General features: G+C 42.3%; 1 protein-coding gene and 1 long non-coding RNA gene across 7 annotated transcripts in view, besides 2 other annotated features; one reads left to right on the forward strand and one right to left on the reverse strand.

The window, feature by feature from the left end:
* Nucleotides 1-2,794: 2,794 nt before the first annotated feature.
* Nucleotides 2,795-9,943, reverse strand: LRRC3B-AS1 (LRRC3B antisense RNA 1). Its single transcript, NR_183726.1, has 4 exons — nucleotides 9,781-9,943; nucleotides 8,113-8,152; nucleotides 6,882-7,028; nucleotides 2,795-6,686 (listed from the first exon to the last, which is right to left on the reverse strand). It is a non-coding gene; the product is annotated as an LRRC3B antisense RNA 1 (long non-coding RNA).
* Nucleotides 9,286-9,801: an enhancer, noted in NCBI's record as "H3K4me1 hESC enhancer chr3:26663597-26664112 (GRCh37/hg19 assembly coordinates)". NCBI's record gives its function as "activates a minimal SCP1, AML or CMV promoter by ChIP-STARR-seq in primed H9 embryonic stem cells {active_cell/tissue: H9 hESC(primed)}" and the evidence as "EXISTENCE:reporter gene assay evidence [ECO:0000049][PMID:30033119]".
* Nucleotides 9,944-9,951: 8 nt separating the features above from the next.
* LRRC3B (leucine rich repeat containing 3B) overlaps nucleotides 9,952-19,246 on the forward strand; it is an 88,005-nt gene continuing 78,710 nt past the window's right edge. Inside the window, exons 1-2 of one of the 6 annotated variants that reach the window (NM_001317810.3) lie at nucleotides 11,826-11,949; nucleotides 12,364-12,691. The gene's annotated coding sequence lies outside the window, so the exon portion shown is untranslated. Of the gene's footprint in view, nucleotides 10,418-10,778; nucleotides 11,233-11,260; nucleotides 11,539-11,825; nucleotides 12,692-19,246 lie in introns of those variants that run through there. The other 5 variants (NM_052953.4, NM_001395646.1, NM_001317808.2 and 2 more) reach the window with 5 other exon arrangements.
* Nucleotides 11,394-12,363: an enhancer, noted in NCBI's record as "H3K4me1 hESC enhancer chr3:26665705-26666674 (GRCh37/hg19 assembly coordinates)". NCBI's record gives its function as "activates a minimal SCP1, AML or CMV promoter by ChIP-STARR-seq in naive H9 embryonic stem cells {active_cell/tissue: H9 hESC(naive)}" and the evidence as "EXISTENCE:reporter gene assay evidence [ECO:0000049][PMID:30033119]".

The raw sequence follows: 19,246 nt of genomic DNA on the forward strand, positions 1-19,246 counted from the left end.
TTTATTAGTTTTTCTTTCTGGTTTGTTACTTTTCAAAATACATGATTTTTATTATTATCTTCCCCTCCTCTCATTACTTTTATCATTCTACCAGATATAGCTCATAAACTATGCACTGTTTCCCTCCCTGTTCCCCACCTTCCAAATATCATAGCTTTAGTAAAAATTACAAGTATGCATATGACATATTTTAGGTGTTTAGTAAATGTTCTTTTCATTCTCTTCCTTAGGCATGTATTGAGCACCTTGTATCTGGTTTGGTGGTAAGGAGATGAAGACCCAATACATGGTCTCAGCCTTTAGATGATCGCACTTGAGTTTACCAGGACAATGCTAGTTTGATTATTGCCATGTTGGAAGAATGTAGATTGAGCATTGAGAATGAGAAGGAAACAGTCCTTAGGTCTGCCTGGAGAATCAGGAAAGGGCGCTCAAGAGGGTGTTAGTGAGAGACACACAAAAGATGAGAAGCTGGCTGAGTGAATTGGAGATTCCAGGCTGTATTTCAGTGAGAGGCACAAGAATGTGGTGAATTTTGGAGAACTGTGAGCATCTAAGCTCAGCTGTACCACAGAAGAAAGAAGAATGACAGGAGGTGAGGCTAGTGAAATAGGCAGACAGGAGATTATAATGAGACTTGTGGGCTGTGTAATGAAGTTAAAATGTTATCATGAACCATTGAAGAATTTTGAGCAAGGCATGTCACAGTCACATTAGCAGACTAAAAGGATCACTCCAACTGCTGTGCAGAGAATGGAAGGGAGGTAAGGGGAGAACTAGGGATGGTGAGACCTTTTAGGAGAATACTGAAGTACTCAGATGAGAAATAATAATGTTATGATTCAAGACAGCAGCTGGGAAGAGAGGAGAGGGATGGTGTGCTGTGGGCCATTAGATAGTTATTTAGGAGGTACATTTGGTTGCATTTGGTGGTGCACATGGAGGGTAAGGTGACCTAAAAGTGAATATGTGGTGTGTGAAGAGAAGAATATAACTTTCAGGTGTTCTCATTTTGGAAAGATCTCTGCTTGCTGAAATCGTTAATGGCTCCTTGTATACAAAGTTGTGTGCCAGACATACCCAACAACCTGTAAATACAACTCAACTTTGATTCTTGTTAAAACTCCAGCAGGTACCTGTCTCCATTTAACTCTTGAGGAACTGAGTACCATGATTCGTAGAAGCAGGGCATTGGCCGCGAGTAAATATTGTGCTTTTTCTCTAGGGTAAGATCTCTATTTTTATTGAGCAACTGTCAGTAGGCCATGCAACACTGCCAACAACACACTGAAAATAGAATGAAGACAATTACCTCAGCAAAGATTAACGCAGAAAGTAAAATTGCACTTATGTAATACTCATCTTTCAGCCACTAAGACTAGCCTTCGGTTGGTCTCTCTGTGTCTGCATGAACATCATAACAGAGCAACATCATCTGTACTCATGTTGGAGGAATCTACCCTCTGTATCACTCCCTGTTCCTGTGTTCTCTAAAGCTTTCCTCAGAGCAGACATCAGAACACTGAACTGCTCTCACTGATGATCTCCGAGCAAAATGCTGCAAACAGATGAGAGATAATATTAGCTAGCAACATATCAGCACTCTTCTGGTGTTTGGCAACTGCTTGTCAGTAAACTTCAGGAAAATGCTTGCATTTTGAGAGAATGTCAGGCCTGAGTGAAACTTTAGAGACATTCAAGCCAATCCTCTCATTTTACGGAAGAAAACACTGAAGCCTGAAGGGATTAGATGGCTTGTCTCTGGTTTCCTTAGTTCCTTTTAAGTTTAGAAAGAGGACTGAAACCTCCGCCTCCACTCCAGCAAGGGCATTTCCTCCACACCCTTGGCTTCTACGATGAAATCAGGACCATAGGGAAAGCTTCCTTGTCAAATCCTTGAAACACCCCCAGGGAGTGGAGAAAACTTTACAACAAAAGAAGAAAATAAACCCCATAATTAGAAACAGAATTGACTCCAGACCAACTAACAGAAATATTGTGCTGGCTTTCACAAGTTCTACAGAAGGAGGAAGGAAAGCCTGCATCAGCAACTCGAGGCTTACATGTGGATCTGGTGGAATGCTACCATTTTCATAAAACACACATAAATAACAAAAATAGCTATGATGGGGTGCAAAAGAAACAAGAAAAAAACAATTGCTGAGAAGGGCCACACTGGCATCAGTTATTGATGTCACCCTGCTTTATTTTTTGCCCAAATCTCTGGCATTGAAAACTGAATTGGCTTATTATGTCTATTAAATTGTAGTAATAGGGATATTAACTACACCTTATCGGGCCAAATGTTACACCCGTAAAGTAACAAGAGGACATAAAGGATAATGGAGATTTTAGGGAAAAAAAATCAGATGCCTCAGAAGCAGACGTGGTGCTGTCCATATATCTATATATATATGTATACATACATATATATACACACACATATATATACATGTGTATATATATACATATATATGTGTGTGTGTGTGTATATATATATATGTGTGTATATATATATGTGTGTGTATATATATATATCTCCACATGGGTCCCTATTTTAGTTAGAGGGAGAAGGAGGAGGGGGAAAGAGAGTATTTGCCAGGTACAGTGGTGTCATATATAATATCTCAATTGATTATTACAACCTTAAGAGATGACTGTTTTATATTTACAGAGGAGTTGCAAAGATAGCACAGAGCTGTCATGTATCTTTCACACAACATTAACATTTTGCATCACCACGTGGGGCTAGCTTTTACCACTTTTTTGAGACATAATTCATCTACTTAAAGAATACACTTCAATGGCTTTTATTGATAGATATAGGACAACCAACACTTCAGTCAATGTTAAAACATTTTTATCACCTCAAAAGGAAACCTCACACTCTTTAGTTATCATGTTTTTCATCTCCAACTCATACCACAGCCCTAAGCAACCACTAATCTACTTTCTGTCTCTGTAAATTTCTCTGTCCCAGACATTTCATGTGAATAGAATAACACAATATGTGATCTTTTGTGACTGGCTTCTTATTCTACTTACCATAGTATCATGGTCTATCCATGCTATAGCATGTATCAGTACTTCATCTCTTTTTATGGCCAAGTAATATTTCATTATATGGCTATAATATATTTTCTCTTTCCATTTGTCAGTTGATGGAGACATTTGGGTTGTTTCTACCTTTTGGCTATTATGAATCATGTGAAGCTAATTTTGATGGAAATTAAAATGTCCACTGTATTGCAAATAAAGTTGATTGGAAACGTGATTTTAGATCTATAAGGACTTTGATATGTCCTAATACCTTACTTTTGAAGTAAACTGACTTGTTCATTCAGTGACTAAGACCTTCCCCAAAGTGCAAGTCCTTAAGCACATGGCAGGGTGCAGTCTGAACACGTTTGTGTCCTATGTACTTGATATCTTCAAAAGAGATAAATGTAAGGATAATTTTCAGTGTCTTCTTTTAAACTGATCAATCAGGTAATTTGACCCTCTCTTTTAGAGTTCAAGAGTGAATGGGCCAGAGAGATGCCTTAGTTGGGGGTATCCCAGATGCAAACCTTTGGGATAAGGGTGTGAATTCAAGAAATTTATTTGGAAAATTCTGGTAGAGTTAGGGCAGTGAGACAAGGATGGGAAAGAAGCCAATAAAGGGTTCGCTTTTGGGCAAGCTAGTGTTGTGTGTAACGAGTGCTTAATCATATACAGGACTTCTGGGGCACAGTGTACAACATGCCTTAGAGACATCTCAAAAGAGGAGTTGCATGTGGGATATTTATCCATCATTTCTCATCAGTTATTGGTAATGGAGCAGTAAGTCCCCTGGCACTCGTCAAAAGACCAGGCATAGAGAAGCAGGTGCTTCCTTGCAGTTGGAAGCTGTGTGGTAGAGCAGCAACAGCTACAAGAGACTAAGATGTTATGAAGTCTCTTCATGGGGAGGCAAGAGGAGCAAGAGTGGAGCTTCCATCCTCATAATAAGACTTTCAGAGAAGACATTGATGAATACTGAGGCAACACCATAGACCTCCACTTACTTGTCTATAAAATGGGAACTAATTCTTTATTCATTAAACCCTTGATATTTAAAGCTGCAATTATATATGAAGCAAAATACCAGTCTAGCTCTACGCCTTACATCTTAATACCTCAGGAAAGATTTCTGCCCTATAAAGGAACACATTAATATGTGATTGTGGGATGGTAGAAAAAACACATGTTTTGGAGACAGGTGATCCTGGGTTTAACCCCTAGCCTCAATATATAGAACCTGTGTGCCCTTGAGCAAACTGTTTTATCTATGAGAACAGTTGCCCTCCATCCCCACCCCAACATCTGGTAAAAAATGAAATTTTGACAACATTTTAGCACGATGGCTGTTTTATAGCATGAGTTCAATAAATGAGAATTTTTCATATTCCTACTGGGATTAAGAAAGAGATGCAACAAGGAAATACATCAACTTATTCAATAAATATTAATATCCTACCCTACGTAGAATTCTATTCTAGTTGTTGGAATATAGTAGCAAAGGATCCAAATCTCTGCCTTCATGAAGTCTACATTCTAGTAAATTACAAACACTGGGATCATGTTTTCACATTTAAGGTCCTATTTTTACTGTCTGGAAAAATAGTTCAGTTTATGTTGCTTTTGGGCTTTTAACTTTGAAAAATGTAAGCCTTATATCAAAGCATCCCAAAATACTTCTCTCCAACTTTTAATTAAACATTTTCTGAGAGTCATTCCTCAAATCTTTCTTTGATGTTGCATTAGTTGAAATTTTTTGGGTCCCAAATGATGGAAAGAAAATTTGAATGACTTTAAGTAAAAAGGGAAACTTATTGAAATGAGTGGATATATAAAAAGCTATGGGAAGAACAGAGACATGGCTGGACCTTTAAATAGCTGTATCCAGGGGCATAGAAGCTACAGGGAATTGCCCTGTCTCTCACGTCTGTACCTGTGTGGCAGCTTTATCACTCATACTGCAGTATGGCTTTCTCCACATGGCAGACAGTATACCTGCTCATTGCACCTATGATTTAAATCTTGCAGCTTTAGCTACCAGAGAGGTTAACCCAACCCTCCCAGTTTTCTTATACAAAATTTCCAGAGGAGAGACAGTTCCACTTTGGGGCAAGGATTCTCTATTAGATCATGCAGCTTTGTAGTTACATCACAGTAATTATGTGGCTGGGGCACTCCTAGAATTGTATAGGTACCCGTACTATCTGTTAAGACATAGAACCCCAAGAAGGCCGATTCTCATGTCATGGTCACCTTTCTGGCAAGAAGCATGTATAAATAGTGGCTCTGAAAGTTGGAGAAATAAACAAATAATAGAGCTAGAAGAGACCACATCTTATTCAGTCCACACAGGTGTCCATTAGTAGAAATGAGCCAACAATACATTACTTTCTGCAAATTTGTCCAGTACATCCAAAACAAACACACTAAAAAGGGATTATTTACCATTTATGTGTCAGGGAAGTAATAATAATGTATGTATTACACATATTAATGTTCCTGTGTGCTTCTAAAGTACTGTGGAACTTCAAAACATTTTCCAGTTTCAGGGAATTAATTAGCTTCCCTGTGAAGTAACTCATGACCAATATTGCCATTTTGGAAAATGAATGATTGAATTAGAAAGCCAAGGGATGTTGAATTATTCATTTTTTCAGTAAAGGTATATCAAGCACATACTTCATGCATGTCTCAGGGCTGAGGGTTGTGGGGACATAAACTGAAAAAGTCTCTGCTCTCAAGGAACTTAGAGTCTAGTAAGAAAGGGAGACTTCTCAACATTCAGCCCTAATACAAGTCAAAACAAGGCTCAGGTAAGATGGATAAATATGAGAGACTAGAGGAGGTGATGAGATAGGACTGGGAAGAGAGTTAAATTGCAGAGGCCTTTAAAAATACCATGAGAAATTTAGTCTTCCCTATGTGAAGACATCATTAATTTTTTTAATATAGAAACTATTGTGAATTCATTTAATTGACTAAGACTCCAATTGTTGATGAAATTATCTCAACATATAAAAGAAAAATTGATCCATTTGCCTAAATCGTTCAAATGATTCGTTAGTTCACTGGTTCAGTTTGCCTGGTGTGTTCTGGGCTAAAATTTATGATACTGTTTGAAGACTGGATGAATTTGTACAATTGATAAGGCTAAATTGTTCAGGTTTTCATTATCTGGAAAGGGTCTGACCCCTGTTGGAGCTCTCCTGGTGAACCCAACCGCTATGCGGTGAGGAAGTCTTTGAGAACCTATGGTGTGATGCACAGGGAGAGCCCCGCATGGAGAGAAACTAAGGTCCCTGGTTCTCAACTCCTGTCGGATGCTCAACCAATAGCCAACAGCCAACACAGCCTGTCAGGTATATGGCGAGCCATGTGGGAAGTGGATCAGAGGTGCGCATTACTCAGTGAGCCTTGTCCAAATTTTAGATTCAGGCTAAATAAATGATGGCTGTTATCTTAAGCCAAGAAGTTTAAGGATGGTTTGTTATTAGTAGTTAACTGGATCACCTTGTACAAAGGATTCATGGTAATCATATCTTCACATTTTCGACCCATTCATCCATTAGACAGCAGAGTTTCAGGCACCCCAGTGATTCAGATTTCAGAAACTCAATTCCTGGGCTCAGAGAAATGCATTTCCATTTCTGTAAAGAGTGTCAGAGAGAGAATACAATTTAAAATTCAAAGAATTTCCTTTACATGAAAAGTGTTCTGGAACATATTGATTTTTAAATCGCGTGCCCCTATTTCTAAAGAAAGTTAAACTGAAAACACCATAAATCATATTCCCCCCTGTATTTCTATAACATTTTTAATATACATAGAAAACTTGTACAAACCATCCATCTCTGACCCAGAGGGGCCACTAAAGTAGATGTGAAGGTCATGGTCCTGCAGTGTTAGGCTTCCTTCTGTAGTTCACTAATCAAAAGTTACAAATATAGCTTCTGATCCCTCCTTTTTCTCTCTCCCTCTCTCTGTATTGGCTGTCAAGAGAAGGCAAGGGTAGCAACGAATCAGCTCTTTATATTAAACAGCATATTTTGCTGAGCTGGACTTGACTTCTGGTTGCTACAAAACAAATCTAAGTTTATATCAGAGGTGACAAACTCCATGCCCTGTCATTTATCCTTTTTATAGCATGGGTGACACCAACAGTCAACAAGTAATGTTGATGACTTGTTGATGAATCAACAAAAACAGAAAACTTCCAAATCTAGAGGTTTCCTATGTCCATAGTTAGTCGTATTTTAATTAAAAGACAATTAAATTAAAAACAAATTCCGCTGTTATTTACTATATAATTTTACTTTATGATTACTACAGAATTTTTTTAAGACACCCCAAATCCCAGTGCCAACAGAGATAGCCACTGGTAATATTGAAGTATATCTTACTGTAGAAATGAGTCTATATATGTATATATTTTTACCAGAAAATATATCATACCTTAAACTCATGTTTATACATTTGTTTGCCAAATAAATCTATTTAATATATTGAGATTTTACTATGCATTAGGCACCATGCTAAGGGCTTCATAAATGCTATTTCACTTAATCGCAACAATACTACAATGTAAATAACATCAACCCAATTATACAGTCGATGTATTGGAGGTTCAGGTCCATAATCACATAGTCAGCAAGTAGAAATGCCTGGTTTCAAACCCAGATTTGTCAACTCCAGATTTTATTTTTTACTATTCTACTTCTCACTTTGTGCATCTGAAATTTTTGACTAAAATTATATTACAACCATAAATCATGATAATATTCACCTACAACATTTTAGTGTCTGACTGATATTCCATTGTATAGATTTACAAAATATTTTACCATTCCTCTCTTGGTAGACATTTGAGTTTAGTTTTGTTTCTTTTCAATTTTTCACTAATATAAACAACACTACAATGAATATCCAGGTAGATAAATCTTGTTGCTCAACCTTAGTTATTTCCTGAGGATGAATTTGAAGAATTAGAGTCACTGGAAAAATGAAATGCAAAAATGTTATGCTTTCAATAGCATGCCAAATTTCCCTTCAGAAAAACGACACCAAATTACATACCTGCTATCCACATGTATCTATGTTTGTGTTCTAAAATCTCCTTTAAAAAACAAAAACAAAAATTAAAAAAAAAAAAAACTTTAAACCGCAATCTTTTAAATCACAGTATCATAACGTCTAAGAGACAGAAGATATCTTAAGAGTCATTTAGTCTAATCTCCTGCATTATGGACATACTTTTTCATGCAGCATTCCTGATCTGAGGTATCTATCGTGCAATTTGTAGAAGGTGGGACAGAAAACAAACAAACAAACAAACAAATCTTAAATATCCTTAAACTACAAAGCAATTTTCTTCACCTCTGAGCAATGTAACACTGTTCAAACTGTTCTAAAATGCATCCAGAATAAGAGTGCTTCAATAGAAATGAGGAAACTTTGGCAGGCTTTCAACATACTTGACACAGGTCAAGAAATAATCAAGATTTTTTGGTCATTCTCCACTTGGAATGGGTTTGCTCTAGGTGTTGGCAGCTGAACATACATGTCTTGCTCTAGGCAGTTGCTTAGCAGTTTGGTTTTCTTTTGCTTTTGGGAATTCAGGAAACAGAGGTGGGTGGTCAGTGGGAGAAGGTTGATTGTCTAGAGACCAAAATGAATTAAATACTTTATTACCTTTCCAGTAAAGGGGCTGTGAGTCTAACTGTATGTGTGGTTCCCTCCACCACACCCTAAATCAAAAGTTCCATCCCTGGAGTCTCTTTAATTCTAGAGACACTGAGATTTAGCTCATACAGAAGGAGAAAATGACCTTCAACTGGATAAGCTTTCCTTGAGTACCCATTAGATACAAAACACTGCTGGATGTTGCAGTGAGAACAAACAAACAAAAAGCACAGGGAATACTCATATGTGAGTGAAGAGATAAATCTATAAATATATAAGTTCCGCAAGTGATTGGCAAATAAAATTCTGAGAGGGCAAAGAGAGGGGAAAGATTTCTGCCTCGAGTCAGAGGACTGGGGTAGCGGAAAAAAGCTTTAGAAAAAAAGGTGGTATTTGTAGAGTCTGGAGAGGCGGGTTCCTCTGCCCCAAACTGGTGTCTACTGCAGATATGGTAAATAATTAAAATCATGAAATAAGAACATCACTAAAACCATTAATTTGACTTACTCTTAAAACACACGCGCGCACGCGAGCGCGCTCGCACACACACACACTGGCGTGCGCGCGCTTTTTTAAGGGGCCTATAGACTCCATTTCGGCTGCAGGTTAAAGTCATCCCAGGAAGGAGAAAGGAAAATTGAATTCCACCTTCTTCTGATTTAGAAAGCTAGATTGGTTGAGGATCGGGATCAGGGACCACAACTCAACCCCGAAACTTTGGGCTTCCAGAACTGCAGGGGAAACTGATTCTGAGATCAGACAACGGACCCTGGGGCGGGAGGGGGGTACCTTATTCATAACCCTCCCTCACAATAGCGGAGCACAGTACTCAGCACCCAGTAAACACTCATTTGTCGAATTGATTTTAAGCCTCCGCTTTTCCCCCAAGGAGGGCAATCAATCCCTTGCACGTTTTGCTCCTTTCACCAGCTTAATTCAGCTCTGATCTCAGTAGTTAGAAAAATAGGAGAAAGAATGGGGCCATAGCCTGCTGCAAGTAGAGCTGTGTAAGGGGGTGCGAGGAAGGCAGGCGAGAGCAGCAGAGGGAGTTAATACTCCTACCTCAGCTGGTCTCCGGCAGCCAACGCTCAGCCCCCGCCTCCTCTCTCCATTCCGGACCCCGCAACCGCGAGGCGAGAGAGCAGCGCCGGCGAGGCACTGGCTGGGCTCTGACTGTCACGTTAATTCCCTGCTGCTTTTTCTAGTCCCCAGCCGCCTCGCCCCTCCTCCCTCATTCCCAGCCTGGGTTTGGAGGCGATTTCCCTCTATTGACTGAGCCGACTGCATCTCTGGGCAAGCGGCGCTTTGCCTCTCTCCTGTCTTTGTCTGCTCTTCCTGCAAGGCTACGGCGCCTGGAGCAGGGTCTGCAGCGGCCGCCGCAGCAACGCGAGCCAAGTCGTGCCCCGCACGGCCGCCCGGGGCCGCACCCTCGCTCGGTGGCGGCGCCCGAAGACGCCAGCCGCGCCACGCACTGCCTGCGTCCCGCGCCCCAGCCGCCGCGCACCAACGCCGCCGCCTTCGCCGGGAGCCAAGCCCGCCGGGCCGGCCCGGTCCCAGGTGGGCAGCTCGGCTTGCAGCTGGTTGGAGGTGGCGGCCGCTGCAGCCCTGGCAGCGGGCACACCCCTAAGCATACGCACCCAACGCCTCCTCCCTGAGCCACGAGGATGGAGCAGCCACCCCGGCCCGGGACTGGCGCAAGGTAAGGTGCAGCCGCCTGTTGCTTTTCGCAGAGCGCGGGATCATCCCTCTGCCCGGGTACCTAGGCCGTCCCTCCAAGGAACAAGTAGAGGAGAACTATTACACCAGTTCTAAGCCGTGCCTGTCTAAGCCTCCCTGATCCCTTTTGCGCAGACCCTGGGAGAGACCTCCTCCTGGAGAGAGAGAGTCGACCCTCTTCGCTCCTGTTCAGCCGGCTGCTATACAATAGTCTGCAAACTTTTGTGACCCCTTCCCTGCGCGGTGCTCACCCCGTGCTGTGCAACTTGCAGGTTTAGTTCTTGCCCTTCCCCCAGCCCCTCTTGCCATATGCATCTGCCCATTTCTCTCTGTGTGTTCTTGCCAGTCGACTTTTCACTCCCCGCAGCTCTGGCTCCTGAGGCGAGGGTTTGGGACCCAGCAGTGCTCGTCCTGCCTCTAGGAGCTGGGTAGGGACAGAGAAGGTGAAATAAGAGAGGTGGGACATGGAGGATGGCTGCGGCCACCCCTGAAGCTTCGTCCAGCGCGATGGGAGTCAGTCCATCCTTGCACACGCCACCCCCAACTCGGCAATGAAACCTTTGGAGTGGCTTGCGGCTGTGCGCCGTGGGAACTGCAAGTGCAGATATGGGTGGGTGAAGTAAGTGGCTCAGGGAGGGAAAGGCTGCTCGTGCGGTGGAGGAGGAAGCTGAGGGTCGGGTAGATCTGCCCACGGTTGAGGGAAATGAAAAGGTACTGCTAATGTGGGCGAGCGGCCAGCCCTGAGAGGCCATCTGACGAAGAGGAAAAGGGATTTGAGTCCGGAGGGCGCTGGCCTGGGTATGTAAATACAGATGGGGGAGGGGCTGGGTACCTGGGGGCGCGTGGAGACAAGGAATGGAGCCCCGGAATGCCGGGCCCTTGGGTACTTGGGAAGGCAGGCTGCTGAGTGCCTGGGATGGGGCGATCTTCCTCCCCAGAAGCAAACAAACCTCCCCGCGAGAATCTGAATGCGTTGGCATCTTGGGTGGTGACTGAATGGTCAGATCGTGGACTAGGGATGCTTCTCCAAGCTCTAAGAGGACCATAGTCTGCTCTCTTCTCTGGCACCCGCTTGCTTCTACGCTCCTTCACCTCTGCAGCCAGGTCGGTAGACCCACGCCCACCTTCCCTGCCAGGCACTCAGGAGTCAAGGATGTTTCCACAGCCGCAGTGTAGGAAGGGGACTCCTGCCTCCCAGGGGGAGACGTGTGTGCGGGGTAGAGGGGAGTCCCCAGCGCGCGGCGAGTAAACAGGGGTCCAAAGTGGTTGGAGGAGAGCGCAGGAGCGGAGGCTGCGGTGGGAGCCACTTTCCCCCGCCCCTCCACAAATCGCACCTGGGCGGAGCGAGGGAGTGGGGGGAGCCCTGTGCTGCGCCCGGGAGGCTGGGGAGCGCAGAGCTGGAGGGCGTGCAGGGAAACGCAGAGCTAGGAGGTGTGGGCCTCGGGTGAGGGGAGACCCAGCTCTTAGACCTGGGAGCCCAGACAGAGGTGGATCTGCCCACCTTGCAGCTCCCAGGTAGATTCTTCTTGTGGCTCCAGATGCTCTGGCGAATGCAGGAGGGGGAGGCTCTTTTCTCCTTTGCACCCCAGCAATCTGGAGTGCAAGACCGTTTGCGGGAGGGGGCTTAGTCGGCTGTTTCGAAGAGGCAGCCTCCCCTCCCTTTTATCCATCAAGCCCCCTATTTCCTGGTGGGGGCACAGTGACTGCCAAGGCCAGTAAGCACCTCACTTAACCCTTCTCTCCCTGAGGAGGTGCATGCTCCTCTCCCAGAGGTGCCTTTGGCTGAGAGTGGATCCCTGGTTCCTAGTAGCCCTATAGGGAAACATTTGGAGGTTGGGTGGGTTTGGAACCCTGTACAACCTTTAGGTCCTCCCTGTTCAGACCTTCCACGTGCAGGCTTTTCTTACTTTCTCCGCGGGTGCCCTACAGAGGACTCCTGCTGCCTTGTACCAGTTGGGAAAAAGCAAAATTCAGAGCAGTTCCTTTTTCTGGGTCCCTCGCCTTGGCCACATCGGAGGAAACGTCGACTCGCCAGGGCTCCCGGGAGAAATCCCGAGGTCAGTCCCTCCCATTCTGGGGCACCCCTGGAGCAGCTAGCTCCCTGCCTAGCGGTGGCAAACTCCAGAGCCCCAAGGAGCAGAACGGGGATTCCCTGTGCGCAGGCTCCTGGTGCAGCTCCTGAGCACAAAGGCCACACCCTCACAGACCAGGCCTGGTGAGAGAGCCGGGCTTCTTCAGAAGTACCTGGATACCTGAGGTAGGATCCTAGACTTGAAACTCGCACTCCACGAGATTTAGCTCTGACCCCCCCAAGGCTCATTTCTTTCTGGGTGCTTATCTATCGCCTGAATTTGCGCTCTGGCCACTTCTTTTTGCATGTAGAAACAAATTAGACCATGTTCCTTGGCAACTTGAGGAAAGACTCCAAATCCACACCAAGGTGGATTTATTTCAGGTTGCTGAACTGTTCTGGGGAGACAAATAGTAATGTAACAATCAGTGCTAGCTAGCAGTTGTGGAGTTCTTACTATGTGCCAGACACTATCTTTGATGTTGTGTGTGTTTGTGTTAGATTTAACCCTCACAACAACCCTGAAAAATGGGTAGAGTTATTTATCTCATGTTATAGATGGAGAAACCCAGTATTGAAGAATTCAAGTTATTTGCTTATTGACATTCAGCCAGGAAATGGTGGGGCTGAGTGGTCTGGTGATCAGAGAACACTGAGTGTGTCCCATACTCCCAGCCCTATTTGGTACTAAAAACCATTTGTCTGGAAGGAAGCATGAGTGAGGCCCCTCACCCTTTACTCCAAACTGCAGCGGCGTACTATAAGTGCCAGTCCTGGCCTGTGAGCCCCTGTGACTAGAGTATTAGGGAGACTGATGTTACATATCGCCTGTCTCAAAGTTTGTTGGGGTACACCTTGGTATAGTGGAATACTAGTAGAGGAAATCGATTTGGAGAACTGGCTACTGGTAATGGACTTCTCTTCTGAACCTTTTGTAGACATTCCCTTTTTAAATAGGAAGGTAAATGGAAGGAGGGATCCAAATATGAACAGAGATTTGCTCTGTAGTCAAAAACTAGAGGCAGTTTTATGTAGCAGTTGTATTCTGCAAATGAAAGCCTCTCTCTGAATTGAGTCACATAATTAGTTAGAGCTAAGAGGGATCTCAGATATTATCCCACCCAATCCAGACTCAGGGAGGAGATTCAATGCTGAGCTCAAGGCCATTTGGTGCATTTGTAGCATAACTAATGCTGGAACCACTGCCTTTTGACCCTTGCTCAAATATGGTACCATTATACATAAATAAATTATGCTCACTCCTGCTGTTTTTTTAACATCTTAAAATTAATTAGGAAAAGGCTTTTTATTTTTAAAAAGACTGTTTTGCTTATTTTCGTATAAATGCTTCTCAATCAGCATAACCAGAAAAACTCTATATCATATATAATGAATAAGCTACCACAAATGTGACTCTTTTTGCAAAAATAAAACATTGCAGAATATTTGTAAGCCTTCAAATCAACAAAAATTAACTATGCAAACCTCTGGATGATTCTAAATAAGATTAAATGATTTCTAATGATTTTAGCAGTCTTCTGTTAGATTGAGTTGCTTCATCCTTCTGCACTCCCAGGTATTTGTGAAAATAACAGGGAATTTTTCCTATCACAGGAAACATTCTTTTGAATACAGTGGCATAAATTCTTGGATTTCTCCTGGATTCTTGACTTTTCATTAAAGTTTATGCTGATGTAAAGCTGAGGCAAAACAATATATTTCTGTACTTGGGGCTCAGAAAGAGGAAAAATAGTTCTTTGTCACTTCCGATAATATTTGCCACTTCCTCGCCTACCTGGCCCCTTCAACAAAGGGGACTTTCTGCAGTCACTTGAGGATTTCATATACCTTTAAGCGTTTTTGTGGGACAAAGTTCTAGTTTCCAAGAACACCTCATGTCTTTTCTCTGTAGCTGTAGTACCAGGATGTCCTCCCCTTGGAGACAAACCAACAAAAAGTCAGCCAGGGTAAACAGGGAGGAGGGATAGAAGAATCCTGTTTTTCAGAATCAGATCAGCGGGGCAAGAGTCATAGACAGATAGTGGAAACCTGGTGCCTTTTAGGTCACCTGGAATAGGATTTCCATCTCTAATGCTGTGGCACACTAGGACCTAGGCCATCCTATAGTGAGGACCTAGGCCATCCTATAGTGGAGGAAGAAAAGAAGAGAGTGAGGCAACAATATTGTCAGAGGAGGGATGAGGTGGAGGAAGATGGAGGTGAGGCTTGGCTGCTGAGGCACCCAAGTGTGACCAAAATGCCCACAGAGAGCCAACGTGCACTAAGAGCTGCTCCTCCTCTTCCTTTTTTTCCTACCCTCGACCTCAGTCTGCGTTTTGTGTCAGGTTGACTGTTCTGAATCCCCAAGACCCCAGTTATCTCAAGGAGAAGCATTCATTTTCCGGAGAATTCATTAGAAGTCAATTTTGTTTTTATGCAAGTAGGAAAAACTTGCACAGCTGCCCCACTCTTCAGGAAGAGCCATTCAAAACCAGATCATCCAGAAGGGTGACCTTCTGGAGGTGGGGATACCGGCTTAGTTGAGTTGCAGCAGTGTTAAAGAAAAGAGACATAACACTGAAGTTAAGTGTGACAATATCCAAAAGAAATGGTCTATGTCCTAGGAACCACAGGAAGGGGAATCCTTTGGAACCTGGGCAGACATTCTGGTTTCCAATTCCCAGTTTATTCAGGGGAGCTCTATCCTCATCTTACTTATGTGGTCCAATCCCCTCTACTTATTTTACTGTGGCTGCTAGGTGGTGCAATATCAAAAGTCCCACATGACACGTCTGCTGGGGAGATTCTTTGGGGTGTACCTTTATCTTAAATCATATAAATATGAGTTCATTGACATTTAGAATAACAATTATTATTAAGCAATATGCTCTAAGACAAAGGATATGGAAAAATAAAAACTTTTATTCAGAACACAATGAATAGATATGTTTATACAATACATAGTATGAGTTAAAAGTCTTGGGTAAGATATTTGAAAAAAAATAATCAAGATTCGGAATATCTGATCTTGATTAATTTTAATAGCAAGAGAAGCTAAATAATAAGGTTCTGTAGAAAGAGTTTGAAGAAGATACTGGAAAAAAAAAAAAAAAAGCTCAGAGTAGGACCTGAGAAGCTTTACCCTTATTGATTTTATTTAAAAAAATATAAAATATCTTAATCTATATTTAGATTTGAATAATCCATAAGATTAATAAATTTTGTATTCATTTTATTATCTGAAGATTGTGACTTTGATGAACTTTATTTGATAAATGGTTTGGAGCCATGATGGAAGCTCTGAGATGTTAGTATATATCTACATATACTTTATAAAAACTTAGTGAATTAATACATCTCAACATGATAATGACATATGAAATGGCCATTTCATATGAGAATGAAATCTGGAATCTTCTCAAAAGCTGATAGGCTTGAACATACTATTTCTCCACCACAGGTGGTAAGTTAATAGTAAGGGCCATTTAGTTCTTTCAAAATAGATAAATGAGTAAATACTAAAAAAAAAAAAAAAAAATCCTCCACAAATAAAAACAGATTTTATTCTTTAGGAGGATAAATGAACAGATTAGGAAAGGTTATGAAATTTACAGTTTCATTTGATCCTAAGCTCTCTAAGCTACCTTTTATGTTAATACTTGTCCAGTGCAAATGTCACTACCTTTTCAGACAGTTTAAAAAATGCTTTAGGTGCCTTTTATTAGAAATAAAATGGAAACAAATATTATTTAAAAATGTGAAGCTATTCTCAACCATGGAGTAATATTTGACAAAGTGGTAAGTATGTTTTCAAATACAGATTAGTTTCCTTTTATTCTCTTTTCCTCCTCTACCCCTCCCCCTCCCTCCCTGCGTCCTTCCTTCCTTCCCTCCCTCACTCCCTCCCACTCTTCCTCCCTTCCTTCCTTTCTTCCTTTCTTCCCTTCTTCCTTCCAATTTTAGGTCATTGATAGAAGAAGTATTCAGTAACTTACTGGGAGAGACTGCTATAATATTTCAGGACAAATACGTCCTCTGGCGAGGACAGTGCTGAAGGCACAGTGCATAGTTCTCTAAAGCTAAAGCACAAAGGTCATGAGGTCTCATGGCTTTCCCCTGAGTCTTCTAACCTGAGCTCTGATTTGGAGAAATAATCATTGTATAGGCCTGCTACAGAGGGCTCCCCCTGTTAGCGGTGACTAAGCAGTATGCTTTCCCTATGCTGCACTGGGAATTTATACACTGAGAAGAGTCCTGGTCCAGGCTGCTGATCTTCTCTAGATGTCTGGCCATCAGGGATTATTAAGTGGAATACTTTTCACCCTTTCCACAATTATATTTAAGCTTAGGGTTTCAAAGTTTTTATTTTCCTGCTGCTATGTGTTGTGTGGTTTTTTATTGGGGTGGCTAGTTTGTTATTTTAACTGTGGCTCAGAAACAGTGTCTGTTAGTAAACTGAAAATGATTCCCAAAGGGAAGATGTACTGTGGACTGTTGATACCCAATGTTTCTGCTACAAAACCTGTGAAAGGGGTATGGTGTGTGGCCAGCCAAGTCAGGAGGGCCAAGCAATTGGCAGCAGACAACAGCAGAGAAAGGTGGGAAAGGTGGGGGCAGGAGAGAAAGAGGTGTAAGAGAAGCATGGCAAAAAAAAAAAAAAAAAAAATCTATCCAAAGGAAGAGAACCCAATACTTAGCACAGTAAGACTAAGAGATATCTGATAGTAAACCTAAACCAAAGGATAAGGGGAAAAAAAAATCCCATAAGAATAAGAGAAGACAAAAAAAAGAGAATGGGAGTAATAAAGACTGAAAGAAGAGGGCTTATAAGGAAGAGGAATGTACTAAATAATACCTCATAGCATAGATCAGTTCAAAGGCAGCCTAGCTCCCCAGCCAGAGGGCAAGGTCTCTTTCTCACATATCAGAGTGCCACATTAATGTGGCTTTATCAATCTCCAGGCCAAGGTCTTCTACTCTGATTTACTCCATAGTGCCCTTTGACAGTCTGACAAAGCCTGCGGGCCCTGGAATGGTGTTTAAATGCATAAAATATAATACATAAGATTATAGCACAAACCAATTTTATTGAAATATCTGTTTATCGACTTATAAAAGAAACCACTGTTACTAATATATGTGCCTCTTACATAATAATGCCTCTATAACAAGATCTTGTAGTGGGACTAGTGGCTACTATTGTTTCGAAGTAGGAATGGGCATAAATGCTACTATGAGATAACTGTGGCAGCTGTATTGTGATATGAAAATATTTATATTGGTGACATAATCACTAGTATGGCTACTATTGAGGTTTATGGCCTGTGTTCAAATGGGAATGAGATGGTACATTGCCATTTAAGCTTCACAAACAAAGTTGCGACTTTTTTTTCCATGCAAGTTCATGGATGCCTTGAATTCTATTGGTGGATGCCTTGAATTCTATTGGTAGATGCCTTGGAGGTCTCTAACCCCAAGAACTGCAGACAATGGTAACCATAAAATTTATCATTTCCCACTGGGACACTTTGGAGAATGAAAGGGCTCTCAGTTGTTTTTCCAAGACAGTAGGTATAAATCAGGACAGGCCCGGGCAAATGGTAATACAGCTGCTTTAGCTCTCTGGGATCTTCTAGCTGTGTTAGCACTTTGGGATCTTCCTCCCCAGACCAGTTTTCACTTCTCTGGCTCAGGGAATTGGCTTTTTCTGCTCTGTTCTTAGGGATCAAGACTGTGGATACTGGTATTGGAAAGTAGAGAAGACCTTCAGCTGGAAAAGGATCCTTTATCAGGGCCACAACCAAGATATGGGATGCCTTTGTGAGAAATGAAAAATGTGCCTCCTTGGAGAAGCAATAGCCTCCTGGATCCTGGCCCGATGAACATTCGCTTGTGTTTTAGCTCCCAGTGGCCCCCTTGGCTAGGTTCACTGTAGCCTTGGCCAATATCACCTGAAATGAGGGTGAATTATCAGACTACATTGCATTTCAGCCAAAAGTTTCAACTTCCCCTCCAACAATTTCTCTTAAGTAGACTTGCCAAAATAGTTTTTAAAGATTCACTTCGTTTCCCTTCCCACTTCCCAGTTATCAGGAAATGGCTTTGGCACAGGCAGGTAGATGGAGAACCATGGGAAAAGGTCAGGATCTGAAGAATTTTTAAAGTAGATAATAAGGCCCTAAGTGATAAAGAGGGAACTGTGGTCATGGAGTGTTTCCTAAACAGATGGCTCATGTTATCCAGTGTTGGGAGAAGATAACAGAATGTCCCTGTCTTGGAAATTAGCATGTTTTTGTTTGTTCTATTTGATGAAATAGAACCTGCTTAGTAGAAGAAGAAAACTCTTCTAAGAAAGGCTTTGACCTTGTAGGGGTGGCAACATCTCAGAAAATGCCCTCTTTTTGTGCACATAGACTATTTGGGAACCAGGCAACCTAGTTCTAGTTCCAGCTTTGACTCTAACCATCTCTGTGGCACTGGGCTGGTTACATCAAATGTTCTGGGCTCTACTTCCCCCGTAAGAGGGAAATTAGGAGTTAAATGGTTTCTAAAATCCCTTTCAGTTATATGGGTTTATAATGTCAAGGATGTGTCTGACATTGTTTTATTTTTACTCCATATGATGTCTTCTCTGTTTAAGTTGACTCAGACTCATTTCTTTGCTTAGGGCTTCCAGCCCTTATATGTTACAGATCCAACAATGATAGATGGACACTCTGCAGTCCTGAGGGTCTGTTACAT

Source organism: Homo sapiens, chromosome 3 (assembly GCF_000001405.40).
Source record: "Homo sapiens chromosome 3, GRCh38.p14 Primary Assembly".
Classification (NCBI taxonomy): Eukaryota; Metazoa; Chordata; class Mammalia; order Primates; family Hominidae; genus Homo; species Homo sapiens.